Source organism: Homo sapiens, chromosome 20 (genome assembly GCF_000001405.40).
Source record: "Homo sapiens chromosome 20, GRCh38.p14 Primary Assembly".
Classification (NCBI taxonomy): Eukaryota; Metazoa; Chordata; class Mammalia; order Primates; family Hominidae; genus Homo; species Homo sapiens.
This window is the reverse complement of record NC_000020.11, coordinates 1,076,370-1,095,538: the sequence shown is the minus strand read 5'-3', so window position 1 is coordinate 1,095,538 and position 19,169 is coordinate 1,076,370. Positions and strand designations below refer to the sequence as shown.

Below are 19,169 nucleotides of genomic sequence, written 5' to 3'. Positions count from 1 at the left end.
CCGAGTAAATTGTAGAGTACATTACCATTGGAAATCAGAGGACTCAGATTCTAGAAAGACCTAATTCTGCTACCAATTAACTAGAAGCCCTTGGACGGTGGCAACAGCTAATGCTTGCCTAGGCTCCTTACTGATCACCATGCCCCATCCTGTCTGCCCCTTGAGGGGGTCCCTTAAAGGTGATGTGGGGAGAGGTCAGTGCCATCCTGGCTTGCAGATAAGAAACCTGGGAGACTTGAGCTGCTTACCTTAACAAGGTTTGTGATATAGCAGGTCACTGCTCCTCCCTGGGCCTCAGCGTCCCCATCTGTAAAATGGGGAGAAGGGCACATAAGATGGACAATTTCTAAACTCCTCCCCCTCATTTGAAGTTTCTGGAGTGCAAAAGAAAGAGAAAAGGGAGAGGAAGAAAAAAGAGAGACAGAGTGTTAAAGGAGTGGTTTGGATTTCAGCTTTTATTTTTTTAGGCCATAATGAGAAAAGATTCAAACCAGATGTTGTCTTAGTGACTTGCAGTAGCTGAGAGTGGAACTGTGTTGTGATAATACCACATTAGCATGAAGCAATATATCTATCAACAGTCCCAGTCAGAGTAAAGCAGTTGGCATTTCCAGGGACTGAGTCCCCACGCTTGAGTTCAGCGTTTGAAAGGACCTCAGACCCCAACTGGGTTTCCAAACGCTTCCAGGAAGGGCCCATTCTTCAGACAGTATCCAACCGCCAGCTCTCACTGGACCCCAGTCACAGGGAAAGGAAGGGACCCCAGCCGCTCACTTGGCGACACATTTGAGGCAGGCTGGGGAGGCAGGAAGAGCAGCAGCCCAGAAAAGCCAGGCTCAGTGGGGGCCAGTGGAGCGTGGCCCAAACAGCCCAGAGGGCCACAGGCCACATTGTTATTACTTTTTAATTAAAATGGCGTCTTTCTCCATTATTACAAAAGCCATGTTTGTTTATTTTAGCAAAATTAGACAGGGCAGACCAGGAAAAAGAAAAAATTAAAAACGACTCATGACCTAGAGAGAACCATAGTTAATGCCTGGGCATATTCAGAGTCACGAACTAAATGCTTATGGGGCCAGGCAGTTGATATAAATGTGAATTGGGTGGTAGTAAAATTAATATAAATGTGTGCATAGGGTGAGTTAATTTATATAAATATTAATACAAATATGTGAACTTTGACATTAAAAAATCAGGAATGTCTGAATCTGTGAAGTAATGGAGAATACAAAGTCAGGTGTAAACGAATTCAAAAGTCAGAGAGATTTTAAATATTGATTTCCACTTCAGGGGCCACCAGTTTGAAATCCCTGCTATGTATCCTTCTATATCTTTATGTATGTATGTATATATGTAAAGATACACATATATGCATATACACACACATATACAGATAAACATACATATATACATATATGTATATAATACCCCCCACTTATCCTTGGTTTCTGTTACCTAAGGTCAACCACGGTCCAAAAATATTAAATGGAAAATTTCAGAAATAAACAATTCATAAGTTTTAAACTGCATGCCATTCTCAGTAGTGTGATGAAATTATCCTCTTGTCCAGTATACCCATGCTGTACACAGTCCCCGACTGTTAGTTACATCGTAGTTGGCTCAGGTCTCAGATCGAATGTCCTGGTGTTGCAGTGCTTGTGTTCAAGTCACCCTTATTTTACTTAGCAACAGCCCCAAAGTGCAAGAGTAGTGATGTTGGGAATTTGGATATGCCAAAGAGAAGCTGTAAAGTGCTTCCTTTAAGTGAAAAGTCAAGATAAAAGTTCTTGACTTAATAGGGAAAGAAAAAAGTCATATGCCGAGGTTGCTATGATCTGTGGTAAGAAAGACTCTTCCATCTATGAAAATGTGAAGAAGGAAAATGAAATGTATGCTAATTTTGCTGTCATACCTCAAACTGCAAAAGTTATGGCCATAGTATATAATAAGTGCTTGGTTAAAATGGAAAAGGCATTACAATTGTGGGTGGAAGATAGGAACAGAAATGAGTTCTGATTGATGGTAATCAGGTTGTTTGGTGCTAGCGGTAGTGTCCGGCATCCACAGGGGGTCTTAGAAATTATCCCTTGAGCCAGGCACAGTGGCTTATGCCTGTAATCCCAGCACTTTGGGAGGCTAAGGCAGGTGGATCATGAGGTCAAGAGATCAAGACCATTCTGGGCAACATGGTGAAACCCCATCTCTACTAAAAATACAAAAGTTAACTGGGCGTGGTGGCGAGCACCCATAGTCCCAGCTACTCGGGAGGCTGAGGCAGGAGAATCGCTCGAACCCAGGAGGTGGAGGTTGCAGTGAGCCGAGATCACGCCACTGCACTCCAGCCTGGTGACACAGTGAGACTCCATCTCCAAAAAAAAAAAAAAAAAAAAAAAAAAAAGATATTATCCCTTGAGGATAAGGGGGCACTACTGTACAGCAAGTATAATTTTATGCATATACTCAATATAATACTCCAATAAAAGTGGCAGGAAGATTGGGGACCAGTATCTCCACCCCTTCCTCCACCTTCCTGCCCTAACAGCAGCCCCTCAATAACTCTGGGCAACACAAGAATCTGGTTTGAAAATCAGTCTTCTATTCCAGTGCTTCCTAGTGTCCATCATTTCATGGAGCAGTAAATTCCACCTTCCAAAAATTAGGGTTGTTGGGGGGCTGACCTAGGGTTGCCAACTTTCTTCCCATTAGTTATGGCAGGCATGCCTAGCTGCTCACTCAGTAACCATTTCCTACTCCTCTATCCCTTTCTTTCTTAGTTTTGTTTGAGGGGCTCAGGTACCCTGTCCTGGGCAATTAATCACCATTAGTAAACCTGACACGGTAATCTCATTCCCTCTGCCAGATTCTTGATTTCCTAGACTTCCTTGCAGCTAAGGGTGTCCTTGTGACCCAGTTTAGCCAATGAGATACATGAGGAAGGGAAAGAATCATTGGTTCCATTTCACCCTCCCTCTTCCTACCTTGAACATGAACACTATGCCAAGAACAGTGACAGCCATGGTGGGATCATGAAAGAAAGGGCCAGAGAATCACAGAGACCCCTATCTGCCTAGTGTTGGTGAGCACTGATATTTCCCCAGGGGCATCTATCTCCAGACTTCTTTTCATGTTAAAAAGTAAGCCCCTATTTGTTTGTGCCATTGTTAATTGTATTTTTTGTTATTTGCGTCTTGGAAAGATGAAATGAGTCAACATCCATTATCATCACCAAGCCAAAGAAGTTGAGCAGAGATAATGTTACAGAAAAAAAAAAGTTTTGTGAACATTTTGGTGTGGTCTCTGTTTTTCTGATTTTACTATAGACTAGCAAAAACATTTTCATAGAGCAGCCTTAGCCGATGGACAAAAATGCCTGGGAATTACCAATCCTTACCACAGCAGCAGATGGAATGACTGAAGGGCCATCCACCATCAGACTCATTACACAGGCTGGGCTTCTACTGTGGGACATTCAGATTGTTTCCTATTATTTCCTGTATACACAGTGATGCAATGAACATGTATGAAACTAAATCTTTGCTCTCATCTTTACTTTTTCTTTGGATGAATTTCTTTGGATGAATTCCTAAAAGTGGAATCTAGCTCATTTTACCCAAATGCCTTCCAGAAAGAAAACACCAAGTTATATTGTCACCTCCCCATGGCTGCTTCATACAGCCAATTTGGATTGATAACATGTGTTGCCCCAGGATCCCTTCCCAAACTGCACTTGGGCCAAGGTGGTTGGAGTTGGCTGGCTTCTGCTCCCTACAACCAGGAATCCTGATTCACACATCTGTATCACCCTTCAGCCCTCCAAGATCAAAGCCATTGGCACATTTACAAGTGGTCACTCCCCATCGTAAAATCTTCCCCTGCCCTTCCCAGTTTCCACAGAGGTGGAGAAGAATATCAAGCCTTCACTCAACTTCAGCTGTAGAACTTAAAACTGTGGGCCGGGCACGGTGGCTTATGCCTGTAATCCCAGCACTTTGGGAGGCCGAGGCAGGTGGATCATGAGGTCAGGAGTTCGAGACCAGCCTGGCCAAGATGGTGAAACACCATCTCTACTAAAAAATTAGCTGGGCATGGTGGCAGGCACCTGTATTCCCAGCTACTTGGGAGGCCGAAGCAGGAGAATCGCTTGAACCCGGGAGGCGGAGTTTGCAGTGAGCTGAGATCACACCACTGCACTCTAGCCTGGGCAACAGACCAAGACTCTGTCTCAAAAAAAAAAAAAAAGAAAACTGTGTCACCAGGGCCTGCCGACATCCTCAGGTCTATCACCCACTCCTCACTGGTGCATCCAGGTGCACGGTGTCATTTACTGTTCTACAACCACATCATGAGCTTTTGTACCTGTTCTCATCTGTGGGAAGGCATTTTCCCTCTTTCCAGCTAACTGGTGCTCATCTTTTAAAATTCAGCTCAAACGTCACTGCTCCCAGGCAGCCTCCTTGACCTCCTCAAGCTGAGCAAGGGCCTGTGTTTGGACCCCCACCCCCTATATAATGCTTCCCTCTATAATGCCATGACCACACTCATGTATCTGTCTCATTCCCTCACCAGACTCTTAGGTCCTCAAAGGAGGAGAGAGCCAAAGAAGCAGAGCTCCCTTGGAGAGAAGCTCTGTCCTCCCTGCTTGCCACACACACAAACCCTACCCACCCATCGACTCCTTTTGGAGTCTGACTCGTGGCCTACCTCGTTGCCAGAGAGTGTTGGACTTGGTGCCCAAGGCCTAGAATTGTGCCTATGCAGGCACATCCTTCCCTCTCTGGGCCTGATCAGAGGAAGAAATCAAAACGGAAATTGTCAACCAGCCATTCCAGCTCTCACAGTGGGTGTCTAATAATGGTTGCACCAGACTGGAAGATGCTTGACAAATCATTCTCCCAGAAGTTCTAGCAGGAAGTAGAACTCAAAAGGATTCATCTTACATCCATTCCTTTTTCTTCTGGCAAAAGTCATGGTTTTCTTTTTGGGATTCAGTCCTCTCCTTCCTTCAGCCTGGGAGGGCGAAGGTGGAGTGTTGATCTCAAGCCAATCAGAGTTAGGTATTCCCTGAACCATGGTGATTGGTTCAGGTATGTGGGCCTGTGACATGAAAGCCCATCAGAATTAGGTATTTCCTGAACTGCAGTGATTGGTTCAGGTATAAGGCACATGAACTGAGAGCCAATTAGAGTGAATCCCAAAACTACTGGAAGATTGACATTGCTTTGTGTGGATTTGGAATCCAGAAGCTGTAGTCACCTAGACTGCTGGAGAATGAGGTCCACACTGATGGATCAAGACAGAGACCAGATTTTGCCTGGGGTTCTATTCACTGGGTTTGAATTGAACCCAGTCGATTCATTTTTCCAATCCTTGCATCCAGCCTCTTCTGGACTATTGGTTCTCTCTTCCTCACCTTTCCTCCTTCTTCTCCTCCCTTTTATTTCTCCATCTTCTATCTCTATTTCTTCCCCCACCCTTGCTTCCCTACCCATCGTATTGCAGACGTTTCTGGCTCTGGTCTGTCCATGTGCACTGGCCTCACTGCTCCCTTGACTCACAGGGGTGGGAATGGGGTCCTCAGAGGGGCTAGAGGAACAGGTGGCAGAGTGTGCATGGAAGGGGTGGAGTGACTGGGCAACAGCCAGTGTTCCTGGAATCTTCTACAGGGCATTTCTTTATTCTGGGCTCATGGCTCAGCTGGTGTCAAGCATCTTGTTACCAGCTGAGGAGCTTACACATTGTGCTGGCTCTGTGAGTTTTCTGCAGCATTGTGGGGGAAAGCCTTCCTCCCTGTCTGCTCCATTTGCTCGTTACCAGGACTGTTCAAGGGCAACACCAGACACTGAAGGGAGAATTAAAGGCAACGGTCTCCATTATGGTTTTAACATCCTCCTTGTCATGTTGATTGGCAGGGAGCACAGAAGACAGTTATGCCTCACCTAGATTCATACATCTCCCCACCCAAGCCTGGGCCCATCATCTCTTCCTAGAACCGTTGCCCTTCCAGGCTCACCCTTCCACTAGCTTCTTCTAATTTGGCCTCTAAATTACTAACAATGTGCTTTGTCTGAAACATGTTCTATTCAGGCCACTTCACGAATTCAGGGAGTGGATTAGTTATATATGACCACATGACAAATTGCAAACCATAGTGGCTTAAACTCAAAGTTGACAAACTAAAATCCTCAGGCCAAATCTGGCCTGCTGCTTGTTTTTGTAAATAAAGTTTTGTTGGAACACGGCCACACCTATTCATTTATGTATCATCTATAGCTGCTTTTGCAGAGTTGAATTATCGTGACAGAGACAAAAATACTTCCTTTTAGGCCCTTTAGAGATAGTTCATTAACCACTGGCTGTACACAACAACAGTCATTTACCAATCTGTCATGGTTTCTATGAGTCAAGAATTTGGGAGCAGCTTGACTAGGTGGTTCTGGCTCAGGACCTTTCATGAGGTTGCAGTTAGGTATTGGCTGGGGCTATGCTCATCTGAAGGTTTGACTGGGGCTGAAAGATCCACATCCAAGGAGACTTACTTACATAGCTGGACAGTTGATACTGGCTATAGGCTGGGTGGGGCCTGTGTTCCTTTTTACATGGGCCTCAACACAAGACAGCTTAAGTGTCCTCATGGCATGGTGACTGCTGTCCTCAGAGTGAGCAGTCTAAGAGAACAAGGTGGAAGCTCAGTGCCCTTAGGAGCTAGATTCAGAAGTCACACGCTGTCACTTCTGCCATATTCTACTGATCACTCAGGCCAGTTGTAATTCAATGTAGAAAAGATGACACAAAGGAATAAATACCAGGATGTGGGATAATTTGGGGCCATCTTAGAGGCTGGCCACCATATGGAAGACAAAAATCAATGCTTCCATGAGCATTTTGGCTCACAGATGTGTTTTGTTAGGCTTGTACCATGCTTTAAGTTGATATTTTAAAATTGTGAGATTTCACAAAATATCTAAAATATTTAAATTATTCCACATTTCCACATGTGACAATAGGATGGAAGTGAACAACAACTTCCCTCTTTGCAAGAGACATAATTCTTTCTAGTTTACCACAGATCCCACCATTCCTGACTGTATCCTTAAAGGAGAAAATGAATTTCAGTGATTATTAACAATTATCCTTGGGTTGTTTCTTACTGTAAAGAAATACTTCCCTGAAAGCTCTTCTATATCAAAAGACGGCAAAGAAAAGATACACTAAGAGAATCTCCCATTTTAAAAATAATCAAGGGGGACCGCATTTCTTATTAGGAAAGAAGAATGTATCTGTATATTTAATATGCATAAAAAATGTGTGTATTTTAAACAACCACAACCAAGACTTGTAAAAATATTACTGCTTAGCCTGTTGAGGCCGATCTCCTTCCTGGCATTAAAGATCTTCTGTATTCTGGTCCCTCCATACCTTAAAGGCAATATGGCATGAGGATTAAAAGTTCAGATGCTAGGATCAGACTGTGTCAGTTCAAGTATCAGTTCAACCATTCACTAGTTGTGTCCTCAATTTTATCATCTCAGAAATGAAAATCATAATAGTACCCATCTCAGGGGGTTTTATGGCTACCTTTTCAGCTCCATTTTAAGCCCTGCCAGTACTCTAGCTACCCGAACACTCCAAACTATTTTATCCCTCTGTGTCTGTGCACATTCTATTTCCTCTGTCTGCAATTCACATGTCCTGCTTCTCTGCTGCAAAGCTCAGTCCACAGTGAGGTGGCTCTTCACCAAACATGTCTGTATCTCCCAGACACAGTGTAGGATACTGCTTATTGGCCCCCCTGTAGTTGGATTGAGGTTATGTGATAAGAGCTGGTCAATGAGTTGTGGGTACAAGTAACACATGTCTCTTCCAGGCTGGAGCATTTAACAGCAGGTTTGAAACCCTTGAGAATTCTCTCTTCTTTAGGCCTCAGCAACTGGGCCCTGGAGTAAGGATGACGATGATGGTGTGAGCAGAGCCACAGCCAAACCACGACACGTGTGTTGAGCAAAATATCTACCTCTGTGGTTTCAGACTTCAGGGTTGTAACAACAGCATTAACTGGCTTACACTTACTCCTACATCTGCTCTCTGCGGCTTTCCTTAATCCTCCCAAACATGGCAACAGTACAAACCTCTATTGACATATGATCCCCTTATGCCCTGTATTAAATAACTGGCTTCTATGTATCATGGTGCCTACAGGCACTGTTCCCTCCTCAGAGTGGCCTTCCCTAAGTACCTATTGTAAAGATGATCTCTTTCTCCTCGCTGGATGAATACTCAGTTTATTTAGTTCTTGGTACTTTATTCTTAACAGCAATTGTTTTTATTTATTTAATTCTTGTCTGCCTCTCCCATTAAACAATAAACTTATAGCCCTGGAGCTTAGCTCAGTGTTTGATCCAGGGATATTAGTAAATGAATGATTGATTGAATGAATGATCAATGAAAACTGTACATCCAGTGTTTAGCATGGTGCCTTGTGAGACTGAGTGAATGAATGAATGAATGAATGAATGCATGGCCCCTGGTACAACTCAACAACTCACCCACACTTAATCATATTTGCAAGTTTCCTCTCTCAGGCCACATCACAACTTGAAAGGCTGCAGAAGGCCCAGTGTAAGGGGCTGTAGCTGCTGCCTTTATGTTTTCCCCCTTTTCTGCAAAATGTTCTGTGATCGTTTAAAGCCAGGAAGCAAAATCAAAGGGCCCTGAATTCAAAGATGCTAATTACCTTTCAAAGAGTTCCCCTTGGCTTTAGCCACATGATTCCTGTCAGAGGCTGTGGGAGTTTGTGGTTCCTGTGCTGAGCTTTGAAACAGGGAGGGATTAATGGGGCTTGATTAAACCACAAATGTCAGGAAGTGCAGAGGGCAGCTAGGAATGCTGGCCACCTCTGTCCTGGAATAGGAGGAACGACCACTGACCTCCCCTCCCCACACTGGGCTTGATCTTCTGATAAAGGGGCTGAAGGGGGAGGCATCTTCTTCCCCCTCCTCTCAAGGGTGCCATTTTCATGCCTATGATGATGCTCATGTACATGGAAATGAGTGATGTGCTAATGAGAATTTAGTTTTGCTTTTGTTAAAGCAACCCCTAAGGAGGCGTAATAAGAAACCTGCCTACTAATTTTCAGTGGCCTGACATCATAACAGCAACCTCCTCGGCTGCACAAAAAGAGGTTTGTGCTAAAATAGTGAGAGAAATGACAGTAATAGGTACCGGTTCACTGAGCACCTATCTTAGTACTAGGCACTGAGCTCATTGCTTTATATGGTGAACTTTATTTCATCCTCATATCTGCCCTGGGGGAGATGCGGGCTTTCATTAACCCCATTTTACAGAAGAGGAAATTGAGGCTCAGAGAGGTAGAAGTGACAGACCAAAAGTTAACCCTGGGTCTCTCTCACTTCAGAACCAGAACCATTCTCCCTTGCTCACTCTGTTGGTGAATTCTAAGGGCCCATGTCCCTGATATTCTCAGATGAATGATTCTGTAGAAAACATAAAGACAGATAAGAGAAGTGGAGAGTCATGCTGGAGAAGTTCATACCAATCGTGGTGAATCCTTATCTCGTTTTTGAGACCACCCTGGGCCTAAATCATACACTATTTTATTAATTCCCCCCAACTACTGAGAAAGAAACCGGTAACACTTCCTGTCAGGAAGCTTTTTAGCTACGAGAAGCTAGAACTGATCTCAGTGAGGAAGACGCTTTGGATATGCTTGCCCCATATCAGCCCTAACCCTTCCTTGCCTGTCTTCATTAAGGAGGCTGGAAAAGTTGAATATCCACTTTACTGCCAGAAGTGGCCACATGGCCAATTCCAGCCAATGAGAAATGAGTGGAAGCCTCTACTTTCCTGATAAGAGAAACAGACATTGCTTGCAGCAGCCTTCCCTACCTCCTCCTCCTGCCTGGAATATGATGTGATGCCTGAACTGTGGCAGCCATCCTGTATTCAGAAGGAGAGGCCAAGAAAATCACAGACATTGCTGAGCCTGTGATGACTAGCATCACAGTCACTGTCAACCTCTAGATTTTTTGAAAATGAGAAGGATAAAATTTCTATTTATTTAAGCCTATGTTAGCTAGATTTTTTACTGCTTGAAATAAAAAACACCTTAATGGGTATAGCCTTTTTCAGTATGTCTCTTATTAGAGTGAGGAAATTCCCCCATATGCCCCTTTCTTGCCTATTCCTCTCACATCTCTGTCCAGAACTTGGTCCAATGTCTCTTACTAAGCTAATTGCTAGTCAGGGAAAGGAACCAACATGGTTGGCTTAGACCAACATGGTTCTTAAACTTGAAGTACATCATTGTCTTACGTGGGGGGCTTGTTAAAGTCCAGATTTCTGATTCCTATCTCCAGAGTTTCTGATTTAGTAGGTCTGAGAGGGTATCTGAAAATTTGCATCTCAGGGAAATGTTCTGCTCCACTATCTATACACGTAATATCAGAGAAAGTTTGCTGGGGGAAAAGTAATCAAGGGAGGCTTCTTGGACGAGGGATCATAAGTTAAGACTTAAAGCTTAAGGATGGAAAAGATGTGTTAGGATGGTGGCAGGAAGGAATGCCCTTAGTGAGAAACAAATGGCCAAAAAGATGGTAAGTGGAAAATGAGGAGGTGTGGTGTGGAGTAAAATGGAGAGGATTGGATTGGGTAGGTACTGTGGTTTCAACTGATGAAGGGCTTTCATCATTAGCTCCAGAATCCAGGAGTTGATTTTGGAGGCAAGAGGAAGGTAGGTTAAGAGCTTGGTCTTTATTGCCAGACTTGTGATTCAAGTCCTGGCTCCATCATTCATTTATTCATTCATTTATATTTTTGCTGTGGTTTTTCTGAGCAAGTCAATTTCTCTCTCCTAGCCTTTATTTTCTCTCAGATATAAAATGGGAACTGATGATGCCTCTCTCAGAGGGGTCATTATAGGATTTAAATAATACATGCACCTAGTGCTAAATCCATGATAGCTGAGAGAAAAATACTCATTTTGAGAAAAACCTGTATCCTCATCTCTCATGACATGTTAATTGGTGGGCTGAGGTTCATCACCAAATAACTTCAAGAAATACTGAGTTAGTAAAGGTTTCTTTACTGTAGGACTTTGCAGAGACTTTAATATGCTAATATGAGGGATGAATCTCATGAGAAAGACAGTGACCTGCAGCATTTCCCCAAGCTTGTTTTGCTCACAAAATGCTTTTTTAAAAATATAAATTATTGTAAACATTTTTGGGAATGCTCATGTTTAGCAGAACAATGAGAAACCAATGTAAAGCATCTAGGTACTATTTTACAAAAAGTTTTCATTTATGTTTTAATGAAGCATAAAAATGGCAGCATTTTGTCAATTCATTAGGTTATACTTCTGTGTTAGTCAGTTTCCCTAAGTTATGCTGGCATAACTAATAACCGTCAAATCTCCCTGGCTTACAACAACAAATATTTATTTCTTATTCACCTTACACTCAGGACTGGCTGCAGCTCTGGCCAAATCCTCTTCTTCCTGGGACCCAGCTGATAAAACAACCCTATTTGGAATACACTATTCTGGTGGAAGGCAGAGAAAAGCCACAGTGGAAACGTGGTGGCTCTTAAGGCTTCTGCTTAGAAGTGGCATTACCTCACTCAGGTCATATATCATTGGCCAAAGTAAGTCACATGTCCAGGCCTGATGTCAATGGCACAGGAAGTATAATTCTCTTATAGGGAGCAAGAGAGAGCTTTGGGAACTAAAAATACGGTCCATTCTGTTGTTAAAAGAAAAACTTTAGACAAATTAAATTTAGCAGAGTTTATTTGGGCAAAAAAGTGATTCATGAATTGGGCAGTACTCAGAGCTAGAAGAGGTTCAGAGAGCTCCACTTTAGCAGTTGAGCTGCAGGCTTTTATAGGGTGAATGTGGAAGCAAAGCAAAGACATTGCTTGACTGGCTACAAGTAGGTGTTTGCCTTATTTGGGCACGATCTGGTGGAAAGTCCCTAGAGGTTAGTTGGCGGTTTCAAATTAGCTAAGTCTCCAGGATCATTTTACGGTTTACATTAGGCTTTGATTTGCTTACATAGGAACCCAAAGCACTGGAGCTATCTCAGCATAATGGCACCTCAACTTAAAAATATTAACACTGTCATTTTGAAAATAGCCACCCTGTTTTAAAATACTGCCTAATTTGCATTGTTCATTAATTTAGTTTTGTCTAAAATTGGATTATATTGTAAATTAAATAGCGAAGAAAATGATCATATTTATAATATTGAGACATCTCATCCATGAATTTGCCATATTTCACCATTTACTTAGGCCTTCATGTCCCTCAATACAGTTTTCTTTTCTTTTCTTGGTACCTCACAGTTTATGAAGTATATTTAATTCTCCAGAAACTCTCTAAGTTGCTAAGTTGCTATTTTGATTATTCTCTCATTTTTTTCTTTTTTTTTTTTTTGAGACAGGGTCTCACTCTGTCACCCAGGCCAGAGTGCAGTGGCGTGATCTCGGCTCACTGCAGCCTCTGCCTCCTGGGTTCAAGTGATTCTTGTGCCTCAGCCTCCTGAGTAGCTGGGACTACAGGCACGCACCACCATGCCCAGCTAAGTTTTGTATTTTTAGTAGAGATGGGGTTTCACCATGTTGCCTAAGCTGGTCTTGAAATCCTGACCTCAAATGATCTGCCCACCTAGGGCTCCCAAAGTGCTGGGATTACAGGAGTGAGCCACCATGCCCAGCCGATTATTATTATTTGATAAATGAAGAAATTGTGGTTTACAGAGAGCCCAAGTCCATTTTACTTCTAAATAAAGCTTAGGTCCAAGGGCTGATTCAGGTGCGTGTGACAAAACCAATCAAAGTGTTTTTCAAAACTGAGAAACCCAGACATGGCTGAATCTGTAGGATCTTATTGGTGTCCTAGGTGCACTCTTCCTACCTTTATCTCTCAGCTTGGGTGTCTTGTTTGTTCACGTCATTCTCAAGCAGATATTCCCCATATGACAAAAGGATAGTTGTCAGAGGTTCATTGCCATTGGCAACCCTAGAGAAAACCTGAGACTGTCTTTCCCCGAGCATCCATGTCAATCCCTGAGAAGGACTCTAATTGGTCAGCCTGGCCTGGTGCTCACTCTTGCATAGGACCACATGATTGACAGCCCCATTAAAATCATTTGGAGAGGTAGGGGGAGAGTTCCCTAAAGGGAACGAAGGGCTGAAGGAGAATGATGCTAGGTGGCCAGAATGAATGGCAGATGCCCACTGTATCGTGCAGTCCCCACTGCCCTTCACTGGGGTGTGGAGGGAGGAGGCTTGCATCCTGTGTTGGCTTTGCTAGTAGTAATTTTGTCATATTGTAACTTCTGGGACTCTTACTTTGCTCATATGGCAAATGGGGAGCCTAACCACACAGGTGGGAAACAAATGAGGAAACGCATGGAAAAGGAGATCTGCAAAATAAAGCACTCTGTAAGAAATTGCTTGCATCATCATTGGCCATAATTAGTGAAGTTATCCCTCAGCTCGAGAACCTTGAATGGTTCCCTACTGCCTGACTCATTAAGTTCATGACACTTTGTGGCACTTGCAGGGCTCTTTAGCGTTTGGTCCCACCTGGCCTACCTCACTTCTGCCTAACCTACCTCCTCCAGTCTAAGCAAGCTGGTCTTCTCTTGTCCTGCTCACTTGCACTTTGAAGCCAATTCCCCAGTTCCACCTAGTATGAAACCACCCATTTTCCTGGGTGTCCCTGGCAAGTTTTGGATTTTCCGTGAAACTCAGTTTTTTCATCTCTTAAACTGGAATAATTGCTTCACAGGGTCATTGTGTGTATTACATAAAAGTGCATTGGCTATCCTTGTTTCCCTTGCATATTCTTTCCTGTGCACTCTTCTAGGGATCACCTCTGAGACAGTGATGCGTAAGGAAGGTATTTCCAACTTGGGAACACTTGGGCCCATCAGAGGCACTTATGACAGATTGCCTGGTGTCTTAGTCTGTTCATGTTGCTTGAACAAACTACCATAGACTGGCTATCTTATAAATAAATAATAGAAATTTATTTCTCATAGTTCTAGAGGTTGGAAGCCCAAGATTAAGGCACTGGCAGATTTGGTGTCTGGTGAGGGCCTTCTTCCTTGTTCATAGTCTTCTTACTGTGTCCTCACATGGCAGAAGGGACAAGAGATCTCCCTGGGACCTCTTTCATAAGGGCACTAACCCCATTTATAAGGGCTTTATCTCCCAAAGGGCTCATTTCCACACACCATCACATTGGAGATTAGGTTTCAACATATGAATTTTGGATGGACACATTGAGTCTATGGCACCTAGAAAAAGAGTGAGATCAGCCCTTTAGGTGCAAGGACTTAAAAAAATGTCCTCCTAGAGAGGAAGAAGAAGGGACCATGGTTGGGGCTTTGGGTCCCTGAGGAAGAGGATGACTCAGCCATGGCGAAGATGTGTTTTGGGGTCAGGCTGTAGCTTGGGATGGGCCCATGTCTGTGGTCAGGGGAGAGGAAGGCTGTGAGCAGGCAGAATGCTGGTGTCTGGACCAGCAGTCCCACATGGCCGTTTGCTCCAGTGGCAGCCCACCCAGGCAGGCACCCTCTGTCTTGGCCCCATACCCATATACATATTCTGGGGATGTTGCTACCTCACTTCACTATGTGAGCTGGGCCATAGTCTACTTCCACCCTTCAGAGATGCTGCCAGCAATGTTCTGGCCAAATCCAGCCTGCAGACCCATTTGGTGTGGCCCACACAGTGTGTGGTGCTTTTATAAATGGCTGCAAATTCATTGATGCTCTTCCATCAAGAGGTGAAGTCTGTGCTCCCCTTCCCTTGGATCTGGGTGGGTATGTGGCTGCTTGACCAGTAGAGTATGGTAGAAGTGACACTATGGAACTGAAGCCAGGCCATAAAAGGCCATGCAGCTTTCATCTGCAGCTCCCACGCTCAGGACACTTCGTCTCAGAACACAGCCACCATGCTGTGGGAAGCTCAGACCACATGGAGAAGCCATGTGTAGGTGCCCCAGTGGACAGTCCCAGCCGAGTCCAGCCTTTGAGTCATCCCAGCCCAGAGAGCAGATATCTGAGTAGAGAAGCCTCTCGATGATTCTAGCTCCAGCTATTTGAATCTTCCCAGCTGAAGCCCCACACACCATGGAGCTGAGTGAAGCCGTCCCCACTTGCCCTGTCCAAACTTGACACGAAGAATCCATGGACATCATAAAATGGTTGCTTGATGTCACTAAATCTGGGGTGATTTGTTACATGGAAATATTAACTGGAAAATAGTGCTTCTAAAATCTGATTTTCATGCCAACATTTAAAGTTGGGAGCTTTCACATGCAAACCTGAATTTCTGACTTTGAATGAAAAATAAAATAAATCTGGCTATACTGGGTTTTCATCCTTGTTTAGCAAAAATTAGTCAGAGTTACCCCCTTGAGAAGGGATATAGATGGCCTGTCTGCTTTGGCCCCCACCTGGCCACCTCTGCTTGTTTAAGTCACAGGGGTCAGGCTACTTGCCTGGTCCCTGTAGGCATGTGGCTATGTTGGCCCTAAGCCAGAACCATCCTGTCACCTCTTGGGATGCCCAAGTTCTCAGAGCCTTTCCTCTCCTTGATGACTTAGACATCCCTGACCTCTGTGGGTGCCCCCCTTTCATCCCTGGAGCTACATAAACCTACAAAACCATGCCAGGTTCTATCCTTCTCTTTGCTTAGAAAACTGCTTATGTGAAACAAAAACCAGCCAGGGCCCTGAGGTGGTGATGGCCATGTCTGGAGCTTGCTTGTCCCTGTAAACAATTTCCTTGTGATAATCTTTTCACTTATCCTCCCAAGCTGGAACTGCTGTGTGAAATCAAGCCGGGTGCCGTTGGCTTATCCTGTACATCTTGGAGTCATTAAGATCTGGCTTTATATTTTAGGGTGAGTTGTCCAGAGCCACTGAGGCCAGGAATTCTAGGATCCTTAACACGTGTCATGGTATTATAGGAACTTAGAAACAAGTCCAGGACAGATCTTATAAACAGCAAGACTTAAAAATCAATCTATCTTAACACCAAATATAGATGAGCCAGGTACAAATTCCAGTGAATATCTTTCTTTATTTTTCCTATACAAACCATTTATTTTTTAAGCTTCCATTCATGCAGCTAGCAGAGACTTAATTAATTAATTAATTAATTCAACAAATGTTTATCAAGGGCCTCTATGTTCCATGAATTTTTTTTGGAGAAAGGAAGAAATATAACCATAGACACATCAGATAAAAATCTCTGCAAATTCAACCCATATTAAAATACGGAGTTTAAGTTGCAAACCAATGAAAGCGACAGATGAAAACCAAATAAACAAATAAATGTATGATAGAATGTCATAGGTGGTGATAAGAGCTCTGAAGAAAAATCAGTCAAGGAGAAGGGCTAGGTAGTGATGGAGAAGGAGTGTTGTTTTATACAGAATGGTCAGAGAAAGTGTCCTGTGAAGGTAACTCTTTTAGAGACCTGGAAGATGTGAGAAAGTGAGGCCAAAGAGGTCGGGCACAGTGGCTCACACCTGTAATCCCAGCACTTTGGGAGGCTGAGGCAGGCAGATCACTTGAGGTCAGGAGTTCGAGACCAGCCTGGCCAACATAGTGAAACCCTGTCTCCACTAAAAATACAAAAAGTAGCCAGGTGTGGTGGCATGCACCTGTAATCCCAGCTACTCGGGAGGCTGAGGTGAGAGAATCGCTTGAACCCGGGAGGCGGAGGTTGCAGAGAGCTGAGATCAGGTTTTTGTACTCCAGAGGCCAAGGAAGCCCTAGGGAAGAAGGCTTCATTTGGGTGGGAACAGAGAAGAGTAGGGATTGAGGTGGCAATCACAGTCAGTTTAAGACTTTTCTTCCCCACCAGCTTGTTTAAGTCCTGAGAGGCTCACAAAATCCCAGAACAGGAAGAACATCTAGTCCTACATGTCATCGCTTCATGCTGGCAGCTCCTGTGCCCTCCTCATCCTGATTTTCAGCCAGGACTATTAGCTTTTGATGCCTCACCTGTGCCACCTTGAAATGCCTGGCTCTCCTCGATTCTCTGACCCACAGAAATCTGCAAGAGGCTGCTCAGAACTGTCTGTGTAGACGCCACCTGTGGAATTACCTCAGTTTCTGTCCTGTGCCAAGAAGGGGGAATCTGAATGGGAGTCAGCCTCTACCTGTCTTTTTTAGTCCTGACATCTCTTTGGAGGGATGGCAGGGAGAAAGTGGAGGGCGGAAGTAGGGCTGGATCTAGTTTTTTGTTGTTTTTGTTTTTGAGACAGGGTCTTACTCTGTTGCCCAGGCTGGAGTGCAGTGGCACAATCTTGACTCACTGCAACCTTCGCCTCCCAGGTTCAAGAGATTCTCACATCCAAGCCTCTGGGATTACAGGCGCCCATCAAATTAGCCCATGTCCGTCTAATTTTTGTATTTTTAGTAGAGACGGGGTTTCACCATGTTGGCCAGGCTGCTCTCGAACTTCTGACCTCAGGTGATCTGCTCTCCTCAGCCTCCCAAAGTGCTGGGATTATAGGTGTGAACCCCTGTGCCCAGGCTTGGTCTAGTTTTATGAGACCTTAAACTTATACTATTTGGGATTACCCCCTTTTAAAAAAGAAAAAACATGAACATACATTTAAGTGTGAATGGGAACATTTATAATATATAAGACAAATGTAATATAAAAGGATAAAGATAAATAGACATATAGGGTGGTAAACTTTCTATATTTTACTTGGAGTGGTAAAATATTGACTCTAGACTCTGACAGGTCAAAATAGAGCAATCGCTAAAAATAACTATACAAAGATATTTAGTAAGAAACACAATAGAGAAATTAAAATGAAATACTAAATCGTGTTCAAACAACCCCCAAAAAAAGTTAGAAAAGGGAGAATAGTGGAATGAAAAATAGAAGTCACAAACAGAAAATAAGTATTAACAATAGACTTATTATTTAGGTAGACCTAAATCCAAACAAATGAATAGCTACAATAAGCATCAATCGTCGAAATGCACCAATCAAAAGACAGATGGTCAAGAAGGATTAAAACAAACAAACAAAAAATGTCCCAACTACATGCTATCTACAAGAAATTCACTTCGAATGTAATGATATATCCAAGTTCAAATAGAAAGGATGAAAAATGATATACCATGCAAATACTAACAACAAGAAAGCTGAAGTGACTATATTAATATCAAAGTGAACTTCAGAACCAAGAAAATTACTAAAGATAAAGAGAAACATTAAATAACAATAAGAGTCTATTTGCTAAGAGGCAAAATCCTAACTTAACAACAGAGCTATAAAACACAGGAGGCAAAAACTGACAGAACTGAAAGGAGAAATAGATAAATCCACCATTATTGTTGGAGACATCAACCTCAGTAATCAATACCAATGGACATAAAATCAGCAAGGATATAGAAAAACTGAACAATGCCATCAAGCAAATGTATGTAACTGGCATTTATAGAACAGTCTACCCGACACTAGCAGAATACAAATTCTTTTCAAGTGCACATGGAACAGTCACTAAAATAGACTTTATCCTGTATGAGGAAATGGAACAAATGACATAAAAAATTGTAGAGGAAAATCCTTTAGTTAATATCTTTCTTTTTTTTGAGACACCAGTCTCACTCTTGTCACCTATGCTGGAGTGCAGTGGCGCAGTCTTGGCTCACTCCAACCTCCACCTCCTGGATTCAAGCAATTCTCCTGCCTCAGCCTCCTGAGTAGCTGGGATCACAGGCACGCACCACCACACCTGGCTAATTTTTGTTTTTTAGTAGAGACAGGGTTTCACCATATTGGCCAGGCTGGTCTTGAACTTCTAACCTCAAGTGATCTGCCCCCCTCGGCCTCTCAATGTGCTGGGATTACAGGGGTGAGCCACCATGCCTAGCCCCTTTAGTTAATATCTTAGGATGAAGAGGAAAGTAAAAAATGCAGAGGAAAATCCTTTACTTAACATTTTAAGATGTGCTACTACTTACAGTGTTTCTGAATCTTGGAAACAAATCCAAAGAATCTTTGAAATATAAACACAGATGCTTTGGAAATGTAGTTTTATTGACTAGCTGTTGATCCTAGAAGTATACAATAAAAAATATTAGAATCTTGAATATTTTAAAAGCATAGAAC

The 19,169-nt window shown here is 43.2% G+C and overlaps 2 annotated features.

Moving 5' to 3' along the window:
- Positions 8,447 to 8,948: an enhancer, noted in NCBI's record as "NANOG hESC enhancer chr20:1067234-1067735 (GRCh37/hg19 assembly coordinates)". NCBI's record gives its function as "activates a minimal SCP1, AML or CMV promoter by ChIP-STARR-seq in primed H9 embryonic stem cells {active_cell/tissue: H9 hESC(primed)}" and the evidence as "EXISTENCE:reporter gene assay evidence [ECO:0000049][PMID:30033119]".
- Positions 9,129 to 9,228: a silencer, noted in NCBI's record as "silent region_12586". NCBI's record gives its function as "represses an Ori minimal core promoter by ATAC-STARR-seq in GM12878 lymphoblastoid cells {active_cell/tissue: GM12878}" and the evidence as "EXISTENCE:reporter gene assay evidence [ECO:0000049][PMID:35858748]".